This window comes from Homo sapiens, chromosome 17, assembly GCF_000001405.40.
Source record: "Homo sapiens chromosome 17, GRCh38.p14 Primary Assembly".
Taxonomy (NCBI): Eukaryota; Metazoa; Chordata; class Mammalia; order Primates; family Hominidae; genus Homo; species Homo sapiens.
Window position 1 is genome coordinate 49,562,031 of NC_000017.11, and position 22,070 is coordinate 49,584,100.

General features: G+C 54.1%; 1 protein-coding gene and 1 long non-coding RNA gene across 2 annotated transcripts in view, besides 5 other annotated features; one reads left to right on the plus strand and one right to left on the minus strand.

The window, feature by feature from the left end:
* Positions 1-12,034, minus strand: part of NGFR-AS1 (NGFR antisense RNA 1) — a 68,408-nt gene extending 56,374 nt beyond the window's left edge. Inside the window, exon 1 of the long non-coding RNA NR_103773.1 lies at positions 11,789-12,034. This is a non-coding gene — a long non-coding RNA (NGFR antisense RNA 1). The remainder of the gene's footprint in view (positions 1-11,788) is intronic.
* Positions 4,132-4,241: an enhancer, noted in NCBI's record as "active region_12365". NCBI's record gives its function as "activates an Ori minimal core promoter by ATAC-STARR-seq in GM12878 lymphoblastoid cells {active_cell/tissue: GM12878}" and the evidence as "EXISTENCE:reporter gene assay evidence [ECO:0000049][PMID:35858748]".
* Positions 13,623-13,882: a silencer, noted in NCBI's record as "silent region_8672". NCBI's record gives its function as "represses an Ori minimal core promoter by ATAC-STARR-seq in GM12878 lymphoblastoid cells {active_cell/tissue: GM12878}" and the evidence as "EXISTENCE:reporter gene assay evidence [ECO:0000049][PMID:35858748]".
* NXPH3 (neurexophilin 3) lies at positions 13,841-21,797 on the plus strand. The gene is made up of 2 exons (NM_007225.4): positions 13,841-14,243; positions 16,566-21,797. The coding sequence occupies exons 1-2, from the start codon at positions 14,190-14,192 to the stop codon at positions 17,268-17,270; spliced, it is 759 nt and encodes a 252-aa protein (NP_009156.2). The 5' UTR covers positions 13,841-14,189; the 3' UTR covers positions 17,271-21,797.
* Positions 14,727-15,257: an enhancer, noted in NCBI's record as "H3K4me1 hESC enhancer chr17:47654119-47654649 (GRCh37/hg19 assembly coordinates)". NCBI's record gives its function as "activates a minimal SCP1, AML or CMV promoter by ChIP-STARR-seq in primed H9 embryonic stem cells {active_cell/tissue: H9 hESC(primed)}" and the evidence as "EXISTENCE:reporter gene assay evidence [ECO:0000049][PMID:30033119]".
* Positions 14,834-14,883: a silencer, noted in NCBI's record as "silent region_8673". NCBI's record gives its function as "represses an Ori minimal core promoter by ATAC-STARR-seq in GM12878 lymphoblastoid cells {active_cell/tissue: GM12878}" and the evidence as "EXISTENCE:reporter gene assay evidence [ECO:0000049][PMID:35858748]".
* Positions 19,617-20,170: an enhancer, noted in NCBI's record as "H3K27ac-H3K4me1 hESC enhancer chr17:47659009-47659562 (GRCh37/hg19 assembly coordinates)". NCBI's record gives its function as "activates a minimal SCP1, AML or CMV promoter by ChIP-STARR-seq in primed H9 embryonic stem cells {active_cell/tissue: H9 hESC(primed)}" and the evidence as "EXISTENCE:reporter gene assay evidence [ECO:0000049][PMID:30033119]".
* Positions 21,798-22,070: the final 273 nt, after the last annotated feature.

The following is a 22,070-nucleotide window of genomic DNA, read 5'->3' on the forward strand; positions in this document are numbered from 1 at the left end:
GAGATCGCACCATTGCACTCCAGCCTGGGCAAAAATAACAAAAAAAGCTCCGTATCAAAAAAAAAAAAAAAAAAGAATTCCATTTCATAAAGCTGTAGCTACCTTAGGTAGTAATTCCTCTGATGGATCTGGGCAAAGTAAATTGAAAACCTTCTGGGCCACGCATAGTGGCTCATGCCTATAATTCCAACACCTTAAGAGGCTGAGGCAGGAGACTTGCTTGAAGTCAGGAGTTTGAGACCAGTGGGGGCAACAGAGCAAAACCCTGTTTCTACCAAAAAAAAAAAATAGCCAGGCATGATGGCTTGTGCCTGTAGTCCTGGAGGCTGCGATGAGAGGATCACTTGAGCCAGAAGATTGAGGCCACAGTGAGCTATGGTCATGCCACTGTACTCCAGCCTCAGCAACAGAATGAGACCTTGTCTCAAAAAAAGAAAAAAAAAAGGCCAGGCGCGGTGGCTCATGCCTGTAGTCCCAGCACTTTGGGAGGCCGAGGCAGGCGGATCACCTGAGGTCAGGAGCTCCAGACCAGCCTGGCCAACATGGTGAAACCCCGTCTCTATTAAAAATACAAAAATTAGCCGAGTGTGGTGGCATGCGCCTGTGGTCCCAGCTACTCAAGAGGCTGAGGGAGGAGAATTGCCTGAACCTGGGAGGCGGAGGTTGCAGTGAGCTGAGATAGCACCATTGCACTCCAGTCTGGGCAACAGAGCAAGCTCGAAAGGAAGGAAGGAAGGAAGGAAGGAAGGAAGGAAGGAAGGAAGGAGGGAGGGAGGGAGGGAGGGAGGGAGGGAGGGAAGGAAGAAGGAAGGAAGGAAGGAAGGAAGGAAGGAAGGAAGGAAGGAAGGAAGGAAGGAAAAGAAAAAACCTCCTGGAGAGGATTCACCATTCTAGACGCCATTAAGAACATTCATGATTCGGCCGGGCATGGTGGCTCGTGCCTGTAATCCCACCACTTTAGGAGGCCAAGGCAGGCAGATCACCTGAGGTCAGGAGTTCAAGGCCAGTCTGGCCAACCTGGTGAAACCCCGTCTCTACTAAAAATACAAAAATTAGCTGGGCTTGGTGGCAGGCGCCTGTAATCCCAGCAACTCAGGAGGCTGAGGCAGGGGAATCGCTTGAACCCAGGAGGCAGACGTTGCAGTGAGCCGAGATCGTGCCATTGCACTCCAGCGTGGGGGACAAGAGCGAGACTTTGTCCCCCCACCAAAAAAAAAAAAAATTCATGATTCATGGGAGGAGGTCAAAACATCAACATTAACAGGAGTTTGGAAGAAGTTGATTTCAGCCCTGTGGCTGACTTACTTTAAAGGTTTCAAGACCAGTGGAGGAAGTAACTGCAGATTTGGTGGAAATAGCAATAGAACTAGAAGTGGACCCTGAAGATGTGACTGAATTGCTGCAATCTCACAATAAAACTGGATGAGTAAGGAATTGCTTCTTATGGATGAGCAAAAAAAGTGGTTTCTTGAGATGGAATCTACTCCTCCTGAAGAGGCTGTGAACATTGTTGAAATGACAACAAAGGACTTAGAAAATTCCATAAACTTAGTTGATAAAGTAGTGGCAGAATTTGAGAGGACTGACTGCAATTTTGAAAGAAGTTCTACTATGGGTAAAATGCTATGAAATGCTATAGAGAAATAGTTTCGTGAATGGAAGAGTCAGTCAATGCAATCCCCACCCCACAAAGGCCCCCACAACTTCATTGTTGTCCGGTGTTAAGAAATTGCAACCAGGCACTGTGGCTCACGCCATAATCCCAGAATTTTGAGAGGCCAAGGCAGGCGGATCACCTGAGGTCAGGAGTTCGAGACTAGCCTGGCCAATATGGCAAAACCCCGTCTCTACTAAAAATACAAAAATTAGCCAGGCGTGGTGGTGCACACCTGTAATCCCAGCTACTCGGGAGGCTGAGGCAGGAGAACTGCTTGAACCCAAGAGGCAGAGGTTACAGTGAGCCAAGATCGCACCACTGCACTCCAGCCTGGGTGACAGAGCCAGACTCCATCTTAAAAAAAAAAAAAGAAAAAGAAAAGAAAAAAAAAATTGCAACCGGGCACAGTGGCTCACGCCTATAATCCCAGCACTTTGAGAGGCCAAGGCAAAAGGATCACAACAACTTACCAGGAGTTCGAGACCAGTCTGTACAACATGGTGAAACCCTGTCTCTACAAAAAAAGATACAAAAAATTCCATCCTGGTAAACCCCTTCTCTACTAAAAATACAAAAAATTAGCTGGGCTTGGTGGCGGACACCTGTAGTCTCAGCAACTCGGGAGGCTGAGGCAGGAGAATGGCGTGAACCCGGGAGGCGGAGCTTGCAGTGAGCCGAGATTGCGCCACTGCACTCCAGCCTGGGTGACAGAGCAAGACTCCGTCTCAAAAAAAAAAAAAAATTACCCAGGTGTGGTGGCATGCACCTATAGTCCCAGCTACTAGGGAGGCTGAGGAGGGAGAATGGCTTGAGCCTGGGAGGTTGAGGTTGCAGTGAGCCATGATCATGCCACTGCACTCCAGTCTGGGTGACAAAGTGAGAACCTCTTTCAAAAAAAAAAAATTGAAATTGCCACCATCACCCCAGTCTTCAGCAATCAACACCCTGATCAGTCAGCAGCCATCGACTTCGAGGGGAGACTCCCCACCAGCAAAAAGAGTACAACTCTCTGAAGGCTGAGATGATGGTTAGCATATTTTAGCACTATAGTACTCTTTAATTAAGCTATGTACATTTCTAGACATATGCCATTGCACACTTAATAGACTACAGTGTGGTGTAAACATAACTTTTATATGCACTGGGAAACCAAAATATCCGTGTGACTCACTTTATTATGATATTCACTTTATTGCTGTGGTCTGGAACTGAACTTGCAGTATCTCCAAGGTATGCCTGTATATTCTTCTGTAACTGCTTGTTCATACCTCTACTTTCAAATCTTTTCTCTTTTAAAAATGGTTTATAGTTTTTTTCATAGGAAGGATACTAATCCTGGCCAGGCGCAATAGCTCACACCTGTAATCCCAGCACTTTGGTGGCCGAGGTGGGCGGATCACCTGAGGTCAGGAGGTGATCCTGACCAGCCTGGCAAACATGGTAAAACCCCATCTCTACTAAAAATACAAAAATTAGCCGGGTGTGGTGGCAGGTGCCTGTTACTCCCAGCTACTCAGGAGGCTGAGGCAGGAGAATCGCTTGAACCCAGGAGGTGGAGGTTGCAGTGAGCTGAGATCCCGCCACCGCACTCCAGCCCAGGCAACAGAGTGACTCGGTCGCAAAAAAAAAAAAAAAAAAAAAAAAAAGGAAAGAAAAAGAAAATATATTAATCCTTTGTCTGTTACACACATTGCGAATATTACTTCGGTCTATTTTTTTACCTCTTTATTTTGTTTACAGGACCTTATGTCATTCAGAAATAATTTTTTCATAATCAAATCTCTCTCATTGACTGTTTCTCTTGTTGGTGGCTTCTTAGTTTCCTGTCTTACTTAAAAAGAACTTCCTCACCCACAAGGGAAAAGAATTAGTCTTCTAAATTTTCTTCTAATATTTTTAGTTGCTTCTAATATATTTAGATTTTTACTTTAAATCTTTGGTCCATCTGGGATCTATTTTGTAGGTGTTATCAGATGGGAGGGAGGATTTGGCTTTATTTTCTCCCAGATGGATCACTGATACGGCAGCATCATTTATTAAATAAATTGACTTTTGCCCTAAATTGGCATTTCCCCTTGAACAGATAATAAATTCCCATATAGATCCCTGGATTGGCTTCCAGGAGACCATCTTCCCCAGCTCTCCATGAGGTCATCAACATCCAGCTCAAAAGTCCACACCCACCATCTTCTTAAAGGCTGCTCCTACCTCCCCCCATCCTCCCATCTGAAATCAACATTTTCCCCACCTGCACTCCCATGGAATTCATTCACTGCACACACATTTATTGAGCTCCCCCTGGGTGTCAGGTGCTGGACTAGAGATGACTGTCCCTGTCTTCTAGGAGTTCAAGCCGGGGGCGGGAGAAAGGCAGAGAACAGAGTATAATGATGCTTGAGGACAGGTGACTGGGGTTACAGTGGTGGGAGGGGTGTCAATTCCATTTCAGAAAAGCCTCCAGGAGGAAGTGATATCTGAGCTCTGTTAAGCCTCAAATGGTGAGTAGGTGTTTGCCAGACAGCCAAGAAGGAAAGGGGGGGTCACGTGGAGGGAACACTGTGTACAAAGGCACAGAAAGCCTGCTGCGTTCGGGGAGCTGCAAATGGTTCAGAGGCCACAGTGGAGGGAGGGCAGAGGAAGGGAAAGTGGAAAGGGACTGGCGGGTGAGCGGGCCTGAACGCCCTGGCGTAGGCGTGCTGACGGGTTTGGACTCTCTCCTGAGAGGCAGTATGTTGCGATAAGGATGCCAGCACTCCTTCTTCCACACCAACATTCCACCTGTGCTCGCACGTACTTAGTGCTTTTCTTTCAATCAACTACTTTTTTTTTCCTCAAAATAAATGTATTTTAAAGGAACATTTTGTATCATTCCCATAAATGAGAAACCAGTATCCCTTGCCAGAAACAAAATAGAAGAAAAGCCTTTAAAAAGAAACATATTTCTATTAAAATTTAAAATGTTCATTTGTACTATTTTAAAACAGAGAGAGGACTCTCCCAGCCAATGCATGCCTACCTCATTTCAGGAAACGCTGGCATGGGAAAACCAAGGGTGCCCGCATCCAGGCTGCCTGGGTTCAAACCCCAGCTCTAAGGAGCACTCGGTAGAAGTCCTTGGGAAAGTCACCTCCTTTTCCTATGCCTCAGTTCTCTCACCTGTCACATGTGGCAATAACAGGACCTACCTCATTGGGTTGCGCAACTCAGTGAGAGAATGTGGGGAGTGTTTAGTGAATATGCCTTGGCTAGTTTGGGGCCATGAAAAGCCCTCCAGCATTCGAACCAGAAGAGGGGCACTGTCTAGTTTGCATCTTAGAACTAGATCTCCCTCTGGCTGTGGGATAAGGAGGGGCCAGGAGAGACCAATCAGAGGCTGCTGTGGTTCCGAGAAGCAATGATGGAGACCTGAAGCCTACAAAAGGGTGGAGAGGAAGATGCAATTGAGTACTGGGGACAGAGACCAGAGGCAAAGCTGGCACCGAGATTCTAACGAGGGGAAGCATCGGGCCCTTCGTGGAGTAGGGACCACAGGGGTTCACATATTTCTAGGACAGGATGTGTCTAGTACCCAATTTATATACCTTGACTTGGGGGAGTCAGTGTGTCCGGAGGCAGGTGACCTCAGGCCGGGTGTTCAGGAGTGAGTAGGCTGCGCCCATGGGCCAAGGTCGGGCACCTCACCAGCCCCCGCACCCCTGGAGCTGGCAGGTGCTGAGTTTGCATGAAGTGGTTGTGGCAGCCATGCCTCCCTGGTGGTCCAGGGATGAGCAGGGGTCAGAAGTGCTTTCCAGGTGGCATCCCTCCTGCTCCTTTGCTCAGTCCTCTGCTGGTCCTTTGGGCCTGGTGGCTGCCACTGAGCCCTCCAGAGAGTGCCGGGCCTGGGACCCCAATCAGGCTTCAGCCACCCTCAGGGCAATTTCCCTGCCATGTACTGCCCTCCATTGCCTCATTGAAATCTTAAGAGGCTGGGGCACTAAAGGAGGACAATGATGACCCCAAAAGGGGTGGAGGAAGGAACTCGGGAAGTCTTCCCTTCGAACTCTCTAAGATCTCTTCTGGCGTCCACCGCAGCTGGGCCCCTTGCTGGGTGCCCCTCCACTCCCCCTACCTCCACCTCTCGTCTGATGTAGAATCAGAAGATCCTAGATTCCATCCCCCCAGTAGAAGCTCAGGTCAGCGCTGCTGTGAGAGGCCCTTCTACCTCGTGGGTCCTCCTGACAGTGTCTGCTGCTCCTCTCCGCCACCATTCACTGGCGCCCAGAGGTGCCCCACAGAGAGGAGCTTCTCAGTGGGGGTTCCTGGAAAGGAGTGGAGGTCGCGGTTATCCCTCCCGCCACCGCCAGGCGTCACCACCAGCCTGGAAATGAAAGGCACAGTCAGGCCGGTCTGGACGCCAGGGGAACTGTCAGCCTCGGGACTGGCTGAAGGGCCTGGGCAGGACTGGCAGGGTGGCCAAGGACGTCCGGAGATGGCTGCCACTTGGCGCTCTGACCCCAATGTCCATCGGGAGTCCAGAGAGGCACACGCCCCTGAATTCAGGCCGCTGTGGCCGCGACACACGCCAAGCCCGAGGGCCAGGTATGCAGAGAGGGTCCAGACCCTGGACGCCCACCCTGGGCCGCTTGAGTGTAAAGGAAGCGGGAACTTCTCGCCGTACGCGTTATATAGATCTGTTTCACAAATAAAGAACCCGAGGCTCAGTTTCGTATTCCAAGTGGCACCAACCCCATGACCCGCTCCAGTCGAGACTATTTCCAGAGATGCGATCTCCTAGCACGACAGCGACACTTGGAAGTCTGTGGCTGAACGAGTAAATGAATGCGAATATAACAACAGCCGGCACTTACTGAGCACCTACTGTGTGCCAGACGCTGTTCTCAGCAGTCTAAAATGTGGATACTCTTATCCCCACGAAGAAACTGAGGCACAGAGAGGTGATGTAATTTGCCAGACGACACTGTGGCAAATCCAGGATGGGGACCCAGGCGATCTGGTTCCAAAGATCAAGGTCAGGCTGGTAACAACGCCTCTCTGTAGCAAATGCTTTATTTTTTTGTTTTTAAATTTTTTTTAGAGATGAGGTCTCTCTCAGTCACCCAGGCAGGACTGCAGTGGCGCTATCACGGCTCACTGCAGCCTCGACCTCCCAGGCTCAAGTGATCTTCCCGCTTCAGCCTCCCGAGTAGCTGGGACTACAGGTGTGCACCACCACATCCGGCTAATTTGTGTGTGTGTATATATATGTGTGTACACACTATATATAATATATAATATATAAAATATATTATATATAATACATAAAATATATTATATATAATATATAAAATATATTATATATAATATATAAAATATATTATATATATTATATAAAATATATTATATATATTATATAAAATATATTATATATAATATATAAAATATATTATATATAATATATATTATATATATAATATATAAATATAATATATAAAATATATTATATATAAAATATATTATATATAATAAATATATTATTTATTTATTTATATATAATTTATATATAATATATATATAATATGAATAAATATAATTATTTATATATATACACACACACACCTATATATATTTGTGTGTGTATATATATTATATATATAAAATATAGTATATATAATATATATAAAATATATTATATATAATATATTATATATTATATATAAAAAATATATTATATATAATATATAAAATATATTATATAATATATAAAATATATTATATATATTATATATGTATATATAATATGTAATATATGTATATATATAATATATATATACACACACAAATATATATAGGTGTGTGTGTGTATATATATATATAAATAATTTTTTTTTTTTGTAGAGACGGGGGGTCTCCCTGTGTCGCCCAGGCTGGTCTCGAACTCCTGAGCTCAAGAAATCCACCTTCCTCGGCCTTCCAAAATAGAATACTGGGATTACAGGCGTGAGCCACCGCGCCCGGCTGCCATTCGGTTTTATCGTTGTTTGAGTTTTTGTTTTGTTTTGTTTTTTTGAGACAGCGTCTCGCTCTGTAACCCAGGATGGAGTGCAATGGCGCGATCTCGGCTCACTGCAACCTCTGCCTCCCGGGTTGAAGCGATTCTCCTACCTCAGCCTCCCGCGTAGCTGGGATTACAGGCGCGCGCTCCCACGCCCGGCTAATTTTTGTATTTTTAGTACAGATGGGGTTTCGCCATCTTGGCCAGACTGGTCCCGAACTCCTGACCTCAGGTGATCCGCCCACCTCGGCCTCCCAGAGTGCTGGGATTACAGGCGTGAGCCACCGCGCCCGGCCCGCCATTCGTTTTTTAAGTTGTCTTTATTAAGCGCCGCTGTGCGCCAGAAACCGGGAGCGGAAAGGGTCTGCGCCCCAGCAGGCGAGTGAGCAGAGCGCGCGGCGGGCGCGGCGGGGCCTCACCTTCTCCCGGGCCAAGCGCCCACAGGAGGCGCCCCGAGTGCCCACCAGGTGGCGCGCTGACGCCACTCGCCTCCCACGCGCCACACCCGCTTGGTCTCTTCATCGCCCCCTGCGGAGCTGGCGTGGACCGCAGCGACTTGGGTCCAGCCGACAGGTGGCCGAGGGGGCAGCCACTGACCTGGTGCCAGGTGTCCCTGGCTCCCTGCCAGGTGCCCTGCAGTCTAGCGGCCCTGCTCAGGCCCTGCTTTCTTCCCTTGCTTCTCACCTCTGAAGACACTGAAGTGTAGCGAGAAGGAGCCCCGCACGACCCCTTCCCGCCAGTGCTTCACTGGGGACAGAGCACTTTCTACCGGCTACGTGCCGTCTCACACTCGCCACGTCCTCACCCCAGGAGGCGGGCAGGATGATCCCCCTTTGCAGATGAGGAGGCTACCGCCCAAGAAGGGGAGAGACTGCCCCCAGATCACCCTGGCCACAGAGAGCGAGGCCCCCAATCCAGGCTGCCGGACTCCAGCTGCCACGCCCTCCCCACTCCACCAGAGCACAAGCAGGAGCGCTCACAGCCAGGAGAAGGTCCCTTCTGGCGGGTGAGGTCCTGTGAGAGGCAGGGGGATAGACATGTTGACCTCTCAGGCCAGAGGAGGGTGCGCTCTGGGATGTCAGTGGCAACATCCCTTAGGGCCTTCTGGGCCAGAAGTTCCTCTGCTCCCCTGGCTCCCTCGCCCCCTGCTCCTGTCCTCCCCGTCTTTCCTCATCCCTTCCTATGCGGCCTCCCCAGGCTTTGCTCTGCTCTCTACAAGCTCCCAATACTCACCTCAGATGACTCTCCGGGCTCACACACCTCCCAGTCTTGTCCCTCCAGTCTGACCTCTATTGTGCACCCTGCTGTTCACCTGAGCACCCTCAAGCCCCTTGCAGGCCCCCTGTCCAGGATGAGATGCCACATCACCCCTGCACACCTGTGCTCCCTAAGCCAGAATGCTGGGGGTCCTCTTTGACTCCTCACCCTCATGTCCTAGAGTCTGTCCCCTCTCCATTCCACCCATTAGACATCTTTCAAGGTCATCCCTTCTTCCCAGCAGATGCCTCTGCTCTGATACAGACCACCATCACCTCCCAGCCTCTAGTTTCACCCACCCTCTCGGACCCACCCTCCACGCAGCTGCCAGAATGGTCTTTCCAGAGATCTTCCTAAAGTGCAAATCCGAGCCGTGTTTAAACCTCATAATCAAAACAGAAACAAAGACACCTTAACCACAGGATGAAACCCCAAACCCTTAGCTAGACCCGTAAAGCCCTGCATGGTCTGGCCCCTGCCACCTCTCTGGCGGTGTTGTGTCCCTCTCCCCCCACTCACTAAGCTCAGCTCCCTTCAGCTCCTCCAAAGCACCAAGTTCTTCCTAGGCTCACGGTCTCAGCAGGTGCAGCCCCTCTGTCCAGCTCTTCATCCTTTAGATCCCAGCTGAAAGGTCACATTCTTGCAGAGGCATTCCCTGACCCCTCCCAGGTAAATTAGGATCCCTCCTTAGTTTCTCTCTTGTTTGGAATTTGCTGTTCTTCTTCCCCCGTACCTCTTGCCAACACATCTCAGAGCTTATGTTTTCATGTGCTCAGTTATTTAATGTCTGTCTCTCCCATAGCCCAAATTCTCCATGCAAATAGGACTGCAGTCTCCCCTGTCCACACTGTACCTCCACACCAGCCCAGGACCGGACATAAAAGTAGACACTTGGTAAGTATTTGTGGAACAAATGAATCTTTCATCTCGTCCTCATCAGAACCCCATTCCCAGGCTTTCTTTCATCTCTGGCCTTTGCAAGAGTTGCTTCCTCTGCCTGGAAGGTTCTTTCCATTCCCTCCCACCTGGGCAGATCCACACGTCATTTAAGATTAATCTCTCTGCAATCTGTCCATCGCCCCCTCATTTGAATTAGGGTTTCCCTCCAGGCCCCCTTGGAACCCTATACATAGCACTCTATCCTAACACTTTAAAATTGCAAATTGCCTGCTAAACATGAGAGATTAACAACAATAATGATCTATCTACTCTTGCCTCTCCCCCAGACCTCTCCACTGCAGCTAGCTCAAGGGCATCACTCTCTCTGCCTTTCAAGCCATTAGGAACCCCATTTCCCATTCATTCATGAGGCACTGCTCAGGTGCCCACTGTGTCGCGTTGTTTTCCTTCCGGCAGCACTGGGGAAGCATGGAGGAAGGAAGCAGTGTAGATAGGATTCTTCCAAGGGTGAGAGGGAAGCAGGTGAAAGCATCAGAGGTGCTCAGCAAAAGCCCAGCCACCCCCATCCAGGGTGCAAATGGGTGCAGGGAAGGCTGGAGGCAGAGGGGTGGACCTAAAGTGCTCAGTTCTGCCCCCTTCACTGAGCACCTGGTGTGTGCAGGGCATGGCTGGGGAGAGGGGTGAGGAATATGGAGAGGTGCACCTGAATGGCAGACACATCACCTCTAGCACAGCTGTTAGTGTGCTTGGTACACAGAGTTTACTGTGTCTTGGATCTGTCTTCCCACGCTGGGAGTAGCTGGAGGGCCCAAGGTTGGGTACAGTTGTTGTCAAACCTCAGCCAAACCTAGTGGTCACTTTTCTGTCTCTCCCTTGCCAGGTCACTCTGCTGTGGCTCATTCCCCTCTTCCTGACACTCCCCACACCCAGATCTAGAGGCCACCTTCATCAGCATCACCTGGGTAGGGGCAGGAGCTTATATAATATGTAGTCCTCGGTTCCTGTCTACCAACTAAGGCTCCCTGGGGATGGGACCCCAGAATCTGCATGATGCACACTCCGCACTGTGTCCACTCTGCTTGGCACCTTGAGCGTGAGAACCCCACTTCTCCAGTGGCTTCGGGATCAGCCCCACCTGTCCTCCTAGCCCCTGGCTCCCTGTTCCTCCCTGGAATCCTCTGGGGGTTCTTTTCCTCTGACCACCTTACCTTAAATGCCAGGGTGCCCAGTGCTCCTCTGGCACCCTCCATACCTCTAGCACCCCAGGCTAGACTTTCTCCTGCCCTTGGGTGGCCGACAGCACCCAGACTTGACATGGCGAAAGCTGACCCTCCCACCCTCACCACAGACCCCATCCCTCTCCTCCCATCTATGGTACCCACCTCATCAACTAGCCAGCCTGTTGCTCAAGCCAGGGAACTGGGTGTCACACCTGACTCCTTCTCTCCCTTCCTGCCTCACCACAGCAACAACCAAATCCTGATCATTTTGCCTCCTAAAGATGCCTTCAGTCTCCCTGCCCCCCACCCCCAAACCACTGCATTTGTCTCCTAATGATTTCCTCTCCTCTCCCTCCCTCTAGTCCAGGGAATTCTCCAAAAGCTTTTAAAATGCAAATCTAACTATAATCACAGCCCCCTTAAAATCCTTCAAAGATTCCTCATAAACAAAGATCTCAACCCCTTGACCCTCCATCATCTGGTCCCAGCCTCCCCTCCTCCCGCTCTGTGCTCCCTGAACAGCAAACTGCTTCCAGTTCCAGCCTCCAGACCTTTAGTCATTCAGTGCCCTCTGCCAGGAATAGCCCTTGCCAGACAGGCTCTTCCTCACAACTGCAGTATCACCTCCTCCAGGAAGCCATCTCTGACCCTCTCGCCCCTGCCCCCAGCTTCCTCAGTGCATCCATATGCCTTCCTTGTTCAAGGATCTGTTATTCCACTCACCATACTGAGTTACAATTATCGATTTTCATGTCTCTGTTCCACACTTGCCGATGAGATCCTTGAGGGCAGGGAGGGTGTCCCATTCATCTCTATCTCAACCCCTGGCCTGGCGCCTGGCACGGCGGACAGGCTCGGCCAGTGGGTGATGGATAAATGCGGAGGGGAAACTTGAACAAAGTGAGAGCCAGAAATGACCAAGAGGGGAGTAAGGGCAAGCCTGGCAGGAGGAGCAGCCGGAGCAAATGTGTGGGAAGTGGAGGAGCGAGAACTTCCGTTTACTGCACTCCTACGACTGCCCACCAGCCATTGTGCCTGCGCTTTGTTTGCACATTTTGTCTCATTTGGTTCTTGCAAGAACAGATCAGGAAACGGACATCAGAGAACCAAAGTAACCTGCCCAAGGTCACACAGCCAGGTCTGGAACAGAATCTGGGACTGTCTGGCCTGAAAACCTGTGCTCTTTCTGCTGGGCCACACAGCTCTCCTAGGGACAGGACCTTCTGGAAACCAGACAAGGAGTGGGCCCAGCTACGCCCCTGCCTAGCTGAGCGCCGGAACCAGCTGCCCACACTCAGGCCAACAGCTTCTCCCTCCCAGCCAGACCAGAGGCTTAGAGGCCAAACAAAGATTTGCCTGTTCCTGCCTCCCCGGCTTTGGGGGGGTCTTTGACTAGACATGCACGCCACCACCCACCCCACCCCCCACCAACACCAAGAAAGAGCTGTTGCATCTTGGTATGGCCCAGGGTGCCTGGAAATGCAGGGGGCTCTGTGATGCTGTCTGGGTTTTGCAGAATCTGTCTCCCTCATCGCACTTGGCCCAGGCTGATATTAAGATTCATCTGCATTCCCCGCGCACCCGCCTGGCAGATGGTGGGGGAGGAGGCTGGGTGCGTGCCGGGGTTGCAGCCACGGGACCAAGCTGGGCCTTGGAGGGCCACAGAGCAGAGTGCCCACCCACCGTGCTCCTTGGGCCCAGCCCAAGCTGGGACCACTTCAAATGATGGGGTGCCTCCTCACCTTCATAGCCTCCAAGGGATGCCAGGACTTGACCTTTCATTTTTCTACAGACTAAAGGGACCCTGGAATTCCAGGAGGGAGACCTGAAGATATGGAGTGGGGGTGATGGAGGATGGGCCCCCATCTTTGGGAATCTCAGATCAGGGTCGTGTTCTTCCTCCTTGCCCTGGAGGTTTGCAGAGACCCCACTGGGACAGGAGCCACTCTCGGCCTGGTGACCCCTGTGGCATAGAGAGGGTAAGTAGTGAATAATGAAGGGACAGGCTCCAGGAAGGCCTTGCTCCCCTCACTCTCCAGCTTCTCAGGACCTGCCCCCGGCCCCAGAATCTAGCCTGGCCCCTAACAGCCTTTTCAGCCCAGGGGCCCAGCCAAATACTTCCTGTCACAGTGGCTGGACCGAGAAGGTCCAGGGATTATCTCAGCCCCTCCAAGTAAAGTAGAAGAGGGAAGGAGCAGACATCATAACAAAAGGAGTGCAGGCTAGACACCCAGAAGGACTTCCCTCAGCACAGGTTTTGGCTCTTAGAATGGGTTTTTTAAAAAAAGGATCTTTCTTAATTCCAGGACTCCTGAGTTGGGGGCAGGGCAGCCGATTCTTGCTGCCCGCTCCCGGGGAACGGGCGCCCTGCAAAAGAGGTGGAAACGGTAGGGTCCGTATCCCCTGGCCACCACCCTCTCCCTTCCTCTCCAAGAGCTACTCCGCCCCCGCGTGCCGTCCTCTCCTGGCTGGAGAGCCGGCGTCCTAGGTCCCCGGGCTGCGGGCCGGCAGGGGAGGAGTTAACTCCGGAGGTACCGGCTGGGCTCACTGTACCTGCCGCCGCCGCCGCCGCCGCCGGTGGGAGGGACGAGGAAGCGGGAGCCGCCTGGGCGCCAGGAGCGCTCTAGTCTGGCGGGGCGCAGCGCAGCGCGGGGAGCGGGCGGCCGGGGCTCCGCGCGGCTGGGGGCGTCCGCCAGGGGGCGCGCCGCGACGGGGCGGGTGGAGCAGCCTGGTTTGGGGAATTAGCACCAAGGACGGGCGCGCGCGCAGGTCCCCAGCACATCTGGGCGAGAGCGGCGCCGCTGGAGCCGAGGGGGGCGCCGAGCGCAGATCTGGAGCAGCAGAGCCACGGCGCAGCTGGGGCCCTTCGAGGCGCTCGGGGCGCACATCTGGGACCTCGAGCGGGGGCCGTGCCGCGCGCAGCTGGACCAGGGGAGGGGGGCGGCGGCTGCACAGCTGGACCGAAGGGGGCGGGGTCGGCCCTGGGCGACCCGCTGAGGGGAGGGCCGCGGGCCGCCGGGGACTGGAGCATGGGACGGCGCGCCTGAAGGAGCAGGAAGGGGAAGGAGGCCTGGGACCCCGAAAAGAGAAGGGGAGAGCGAGGGGACGAGAGCGGAGGAGGAAGATGCAACTGACTCGCTGCTGCTTCGTGTTCCTGGTGCAGGGTAGCCTCTATCTGGTGAGTGGTCCGAGGGGAGCTGCGCAGAGGGGCGGGGGCCCGGAGGATCGGGGGAGAGCGCGGGAAGCTTGCGAGCCCTGAAACTTTCTCCCTTCCCCCGACATCCCGGGGATGGCGGGGAAGACTGGAGGCTGGGGGAGAGGGCGGGTCCGAGGCCGGAGACTGGACAGATAGGGTTAATAGGGGCGGGGAGAGGGTGCTTGGCTGGCCCACCCACTCCGCAGCGGGTGGCTGGAGGTGCGACCAGCGCTCGGAAAAAGGCCTGGAGCCGGGTCGCCAGGGTTACCCTACCCCTTCCCAGAGCCTCAGGACCGCTGAAGCCGGGGGCGAGTGGGGCGCGGGTCGTGGAGCTGGTGACCTGCAGGCTTTTCCCCTGACCTCTGGGACTCAGAGAGCCTCGGGTTCTGGGTCCCCCAGAGCACAGAGCCGGTCCAGGCGGGGGGCGGCCCCCGCGTCCCTCCCCTCCCGCCTTCCCTCCCGCTCCCTCCCTCCCCGCCTGTTGTTTTCCTCTGCTCTCCCGGCTGCGCGCAGCCGGAGCCCCACAGGACTTGGGCAGGCGGCTCCCGCCCCAGGCACTCGCGGCAGCTGAGCGGAGCGCCCAGAGCCCGCTCCCCGTGCGCCGGCTCCGCGGCTTCTCGGCGACCCAGGGCGCCGGGGATCCCCTCCCCGAACCCAGCCCGTGGCTTAACTCCCCTCCGACCGAGCGCCCGCTGACCCTCCCCGCAATACTGTCGTGAAGCCTCAGCCCCACATCTGGACCTGCCCCTTTAATCAACAAGCCCCTTGCCACCGCCCCATGCCACTGTGGGAAGAGCCCTTCCCTTCTCACGGCCCCACCTTTACCCTCCAGCCACTCAGCCGTGACCCTCAGGAGCAAGTACCTACAGGTCTGCAGCCCTAGACCCAGACCCCGAGCCTCCCGTCCTAGCCGTCCCTCTACCCCACCTCTGGGGCCTGGCAGTCAGGGCCAGCCTGAACTGTGGGGCAGAGACAGACTCGGCCACAGCACACAGCTGCCGGCAACACCCAGGCCAGAACACAGGCATGAGGACCCCACAGCCCCTTGGAACCCTACTGTCCCCACCCCAGTGTCACCACCAAATCCAGATGCCCCCCGGTGCTGGTAGTAAAGACACCTAGGGCAAGTGGTTGCTTTCAAAAGCTGAGCAAACCCACAGCCAGGCTGCGCCTCAGGAAGCCCTGTCAACCCCCTGATGCCCCCCACTGCTGTCCCACTCTCCCTGTGGCACCTCCAGGAATCTCCCAGGTGTGGGTTGTCACCACAGCTGATCCAGCAGAGGGAGGATGAGCCCCTGCAGATTCCAGAGGCGGATGGCGCCTGGATAAAAACCCTTTCAAAAAGACACATCTGATCTGTGAGGCCAGGAGTGTGGAGTGTAAAGGAAGGGCTGACCCTATGTGAACTCAGCCTTGTAGTGTTGTAATCTCTGAGCCCCAGTGTCCTTATCTGTGAAATGGGAATAAGAACTCCTACCTCAGAATGCAAGTAACATCGTGGCATGTCATCATCAGTGTACCCTGGAGAGGTGTTTGGCTTTCCATTCCCATGGCCATCCTGGGTGTGGCATTCACTCCGGGTCTCCCCTAGTTCTCTTGCCAAACCTAAACTATATTCGTGCTTGAGAATTACACTGTGTTCTGCTTTCTTATTCCATTGTCTGGTGGTTCTCTTTGCATCTAAGGGTAGAAATTATCCTAGGGTAGGGACGGTGTCTTACCCAACAGACTAGGAAGTCCCAAAAGGCAGGGGCTGGCCTCTCCTGTCAAACCAGGGGCTCTCCCAGGATAAGAATGGTGCTTCCCTGTCTGACTCGGGGCTGTTTCAGAGCAGAGATTATGCCTCCCCCATCAGCCTGGGGATTTCACAGAGGCAGGGATTCTACTTCCTATCAAATTGGGGGCTCTGTCAGCACAGGGATGATGCTTCTGCAATTAGATGGGGGCTCCCCAAGATCAGAAGCTGGGCTTCCCCCATCAGACTGGGGACTCCCTAGGGGTAGGAGCCGTTGTCCCTGGTGCCACAGTTCACTGGAGAGAATTATTGTCGGTCTTTGAGACTTTGAATTTGAATAGTGGCCAAGACAGTGAGGAAAGGACAATGGGGGGGGGGGTGACCCAACTGTCAGAACCTGAGATGTACACAAGCTAGAGTGTACACTTGCCCCCCAGCTTCAGTGGGCAAGACGCAGGAGCTCCTCACCCAGGTCAGAGTGAAGTGGCAGGGACAGGGGTACTGCTGGTAGCGGGGGTGGTGGACCTCCAGGGACAGGGCTCTCACTGTACTCACAACTCCCTCCATAGGTCATCTGTGGCCAGGATGATGGTCCTCCCGGCTCAGAGGACCCTGAGCGTGATGACCACGAGGGCCAGCCCCGGCCCCGGGTGCCTCGGAAGCGGGGCCACATCTCACCTAAGTCCCGCCCCATGGCCAATTCCACTCTCCTAGGGCTGCTGGCCCCGCCTGGGGAGGCTTGGGGCATTCTTGGGCAGCCCCCCAACCGCCCGAACCACAGCCCCCCACCCTCAGCCAAGGTGAAGAAAATCTTTGGCTGGGGCGACTTCTACTCCAACATCAAGACGGTGGCCCTGAACCTGCTCGTCACAGGGAAGATTGTGGACCATGGCAATGGGACCTTCAGCGTCCACTTCCAACACAATGCCACAGGCCAGGGAAACATCTCCATCAGCCTCGTGCCCCCCAGTAAAGCTGTAGAGTTCCACCAGGAACAGCAGATCTTCATCGAAGCCAAGGCCTCCAAAATCTTCAACTGCCGGATGGAGTGGGAGAAGGTAGAACGGGGCCGCCGGACCTCGCTTTGCACCCACGACCCAGCCAAGATCTGCTCCCGAGACCACGCTCAGAGCTCAGCCACCTGGAGCTGCTCCCAGCCCTTCAAAGTCGTCTGTGTCTACATCGCCTTCTACAGCACGGACTATCGGCTGGTCCAGAAGGTGTGCCCAGATTACAACTACCATAGTGATACCCCCTACTACCCATCTGGGTGACCCGGGGCAGGCCACAGAGGCCAGGCCAGGGCTGGAAGGACAGGCCTGCCCATGCAGGAGACCATCTGGACACCGGGCAGGGAAGGGGTTGGGCCTCAGGCAGGGAGGGGGGTGGAGACGAGGAGATGCCAAGTGGGGCCAGGGCCAAGTCTCAAGTGGCAGAGAAAGGGTCCCAAGTGCTGGTCCCAACCTGAAGCTGTGGAGTGACTAGATCACAGGAGCACTGGAGGAGGAGTGGGCTCTCTGTGCAGCCTCACAGGGCTTTGCCACGGAGCCACAGAGAGATGCTGGGTCCCCGAGGCCTGTGGGCAGGCCGATCAGTGTGGCCCCAGATCAAGTCATGGGAGGAAGCTAAGCCCTTGGTTCTTGCCATCCTGAGGAAAGATAGCAACAGGGAGGGGGAGATTTCATCAGTGTGGACAGCCTGTCAACTTAGGATGGATGGCTGAGAGGGCTTCCTAGGAGCCAGTCAGCAGGGTGGGGTGGGGCCAGAGGAGCTCTCCAGCCCTGCCTAGTGGGCGCCCTCAGCCCCTTGTCGTGTGCTGAGCATGGCATGAGGCTGAAGTGGCAACCCTGGGGTCTTTGATGTCTTGACAGATTGACCATCTGTCTCCAGCCAGGCCACCCCTTTCCAAAATTCCCTCTTCTGCCAGTACTCCCCCTGTACCACCCATTGCTGATGGCACACCCATCCTTAAGCTAAGACAGGACGATTGTGGTCCTCCCACACTAAGGCCACAGCCCATCCGCGTGCTGTGTGTCCCTCTTCCACCCCAACCCCTGCTGGCTCCTCTGGGAGCATCCATGTCCCGGAGAGGGGTCCCTCAACAGTCAGCCTCACCTGTCAGACCGGGGTTCTCCCGGATCTGGATGGCGCCGCCCTCTCAGCAGCGGGCACGGGTGGGGCGGGGCCGGGCCGCAGAGCATGTGCTGGATCTGTTCTGTGTGTCTGTCTGTGGGTGGGGGGAGGGGAGGGAAGTCTTGTGAAACCGCTGATTGCTGACTTTTGTGTGAAGAATCGTGTTCTTGGAGCAGGAAATAAAGCTTGCCCCGGGGCACTGGAGTCAGAGTTGTCCAAGGAAAGGGCCTCAGGCATCCCTTGGTCCAGGAAGAATTTCTCTGATGGCCGCAGGACATTTGCTTGAGACCCAAGTGGCAGGGATCCAACCGCCCTTGGCGCTGATGTTTGCTGAGGGCTCAGGGCTTCCCTCTCCAGCCCCGGTTCCAAGCTGTCTGATCCCCCACGAGGAAACTTGAGCAAACACCCTGGGCTCGGTGCTGGAGGAGGGCGTAGCATCTTCAAGAACAGCTCAGGGAGGGAGAGCTAGCAGGTAGAATGGGCCAATGAGGGTGTTCCTTGGTGTCCTCCCTGAACTGCCATCTGCAGACCCAGCAGGGTCCTAGCCCCGTCATTTTGCTGCGTGGCCTTGGCCATGTCCATTCTCCTCTCTGGCTTTCTTTCTTTGTTTCTTCCTCTATGACATGAAGGGCTTGCCCAGACCAGGGGTTCTCAAACGCGGATCACCCAGAGGGTTTGTTAACACACAGATTTCTGGGTCCTACCCACATTTCTAATTCAGCAGGCCTGGGTGGGGCCTAAGAATTAGAATTTCTAACGAGTGCCCAGGTCTATGCTGATGCTGCTGCTCCAGGGCCCATGCTGGGAGACCCACTCAAAGGACCTTGAAGTTCATCTCTGGCTATGGCTCCGCAGGAGGGGGAGACACCTCGGATGTGATTTCCCAGCTGTAATTTCCATCTGCTTCTCCTGGGGAAGGGGCCTTTCAGAGAATCGGGGCTATTGTATTGGATTTTCAATCTGACCACATGCCAGTGAAGGAACAGGCTGGAGTGGGGTGTGGACACAGGGCCTGCGTCAGTCACTCCCCTCCTGCAGCTAGTAAGAGGCCTCAGAATGGCCAGCTGCCAGTGGCACCTTGTCTGGGAGTTAGTTGGGCCCTTTGGGACTCTGTGAAGGGAAGACACTACCAAGGTCACAGTGCCTTCTGGAGGTCATTCTAAGTCGGCTCTCTTGGGAGGGCAGCACTCAGGGCCCTTTGGGCCCTCTTGAGGAGAGGAGAGTCCTGGCAGTAAGGTAAGATGGGCTTGCCACCCCCCACCTTTCGCCCCTGCCCACCAGCGCTCCGCGCAAACTGGTCCCCTCATACTGCAGCGCAGAGTTGGGTGGGGCTGAGAAGCCATCTGGTTACAGCCCACCTTGTAGGAAATGACCCAGCTTGTTTCCCCCACATCATGCTTCCAGGGGCCGTCTCTCCTGAGTGGAGATGTGAGACACACACCCCTCCTCCAGACCACCCTCCGCTCCCCACCCTGGAGGCTTGAGACTGCTGGCACTGGAGCAGCCCACCAATGGACACCCACCGTGTGCCGTTCAGCCTCCCACAGTGCTGTGGAGACTGCAGGAAGGAGGAGGAAGCAATGGGGCCAGAGGCCCTGGGCGCCCTCCCCACCTCCCCTGGCTGAACTCTCAGCAGGCACTGGGGGCACTTTGACCCCCCTCCTGCTCCTCTCCTCCTGTGGAGAGCCAGATGCTGGCGACAGCTGGAGGGCCCGGCCTTCCTGGCACACAGTTCTGCCTGCACCAGGGATGGATTCATTTTAATAACTTCATTTCACCCTCATGCACACTGCCGCCTCATCCCTCCTTTCCACCTTCCCCAGTAGCCTGGCTGCTCTCCTCAGCTAGGACTTCGCTAACAGATTTCCTCCCAAACCTTAATTCTTTGGAATAGCCCTCTGGTCCCTACTGTTCTTGCCAGATACTTCTGTGCCCGCTTGGTCCTCACAAGGGCAAGGGGTCCATCCAACTTCCTCTGGCTAAGAAGACGTCACCTCTGCCCCATTGGCGAGCAGTGTCCCCATGGTGATGCCCCCCCACCATCACGACGAAGTGCGCTGGCCTCCCACTCTTGCCATGCACACACTCACAGGAGATTCCTCTGAAGAAACCTGTCCCCACTCTGCCCAGACCCCAAAGGGCCAGGTCCTACTCACACTCCAACCCGTTGACCTTCCCCATCCACTGCCCTTCAAGGCAGTCTGAAATGCCCTCAGACCGTTTAGCGGTCCCGTGGTCCTCCACCCTAACCCCTCAGCCCAGCTGGGGGCTGCCGGGGGCCTTGTCTCCTCCATCAGTGGAGCCTCTGGGACAAGTTTACCAGGCTGGGGGTTCTTTAAGGACACAGCTTGGATCTCCCCATCAGGCTGGGGAACACCTAGGGCCGGGGGCCATGCCTCCCTCATCAGACTGAGGACACCCTGATGTCAGGGGCTGGATGGCCCCTTAGACTGGGGGTCCCTGAGGGCAGAAGCTATGCCTCCCCTCATCAGACTGGAGTCTCCCTGAGGGCAAGAACTGTGCTATGGATGGGAGGGGGACAGCTTGCCTTTTCCTAGGCATCAGAGCACCTGGAGGCTGCCTCTGCCCTTCAGCTTTGCTCAAAGGCGCTGTCTGGGTCTCAGCATTCCTTTCTCAAGTAGGGTGAATCTCCTAGCACTCTGTGAAGCTAATAAGGGGGATTACCCGTTAGGTCAACTGGTAGCAATGCCCGAGTCTCCTTCTCGATGAAGCTTAAGGCAAAAGCAAATGAATATCTAGGTCCCTTCCCCCCCTTCCCCCCTTCCCTTTCCTGGGATGAGCAAGCGGGAACTGAGTCACCCTGTTCCCCATCCTTGGCAGGAATGCTGGTGACCTTGCATTGTGGCAGATTCAGGTGGCGAGGCCCATTGCTCGAGATGCACCTGGTGGGTGGGTGGCAGGGATCCTGGGGGAGTGTTTATGGGGACGGAGGCAGCTGAAGGGCAGGGAGGGGTGACCAGGTGCTGGGATCATCGAGTGAGTATGTGCAGGAGGGATTGTAGAGACACAATGAAACAGTTGCTCTGTGTTGGGAAGTGATCCAGTGTCATCGCTGGGAGTGGGAGACAGAAATGTTACTTCCAAAGATTCCGAGTCCTGTGGTACTGCCAGGAGAACCGGGGGCTGGGGTGATGGGTAAGGAGAGGCACCATTAGCCCCGCCAGGCAGAGGCAAGATGGGGTGGGGGCGGCACCTGCCAATTATGCCAAAGTCTTGGAGTGGCAGCTGGCACCATCACCAAGGCACAAATGCCAGCAGAGACCTGGCACTCACCTGGGTTGTGATTCCATAGGGCCCCTGTCTCCTGTTGGTCTCCCAGGCTCAAAGGCTGACCTGATAATTCAAGTGAAGGATGCCTAGTTCAAGGCCTCCCAGTTCCTCATCCCAGGCCACCTGGTCAGGTGGTCCCAAGGGACAAGCTAGGTCCTCCTGAACTGCAGAGGCTGCCAATAAACTGGCAACACAGGTGTTGCAGGAAGATATAGCTGGGTCCTCATCCTGGGTCTGTAATTTATTAGACGTGTGGCTTTGGACAAATGACATAATTTCCCAGAGCCTCCTTAGATAAAAAACTAGGGCTTTGCTTACCTTGGCGTATTGTTAGGAAAATTAAATGAGTTGCTCAATAAATGTTACTTCCTCCTGTCTTTTTTTTTCTAAGATGGGTTGTTGTTAACCTTGGCCTTGCTCCTGGTGTGGACAGGGGAAAGGGTCCCAGGCTGGAGGTAGGAGACCTAGGTTCCTATCCTGGTTCCACCCCATCATGCATGTGGCAAAGATTTCTAATTGTCCCATAATACCCATTTTCCCTTTCTCCATAGTAATGGGATTCTCTGATTTTAGCTGGGCATGTGGCTGCCTGAAATAACTACTGCATTTCTCAGCCTCCCTAGATGTAGTCATGTGACTAAGATCTGGCC

Coding starts and splice junctions, on each gene's coding strand:
- NXPH3 (NM_007225.4), top strand. CDS start 14,190: ATGCAACTGACTCGCTGCTGCTTCGTGTTCCTGGTGCAGGGTAGCCTC. Junction 14,244..16,565: donor TGCAGGGTAGCCTCTATCTG/GTGAGTGGTCCG, acceptor CTCCCTCCATAG/GTCATCTGTGGCCAGGATGA.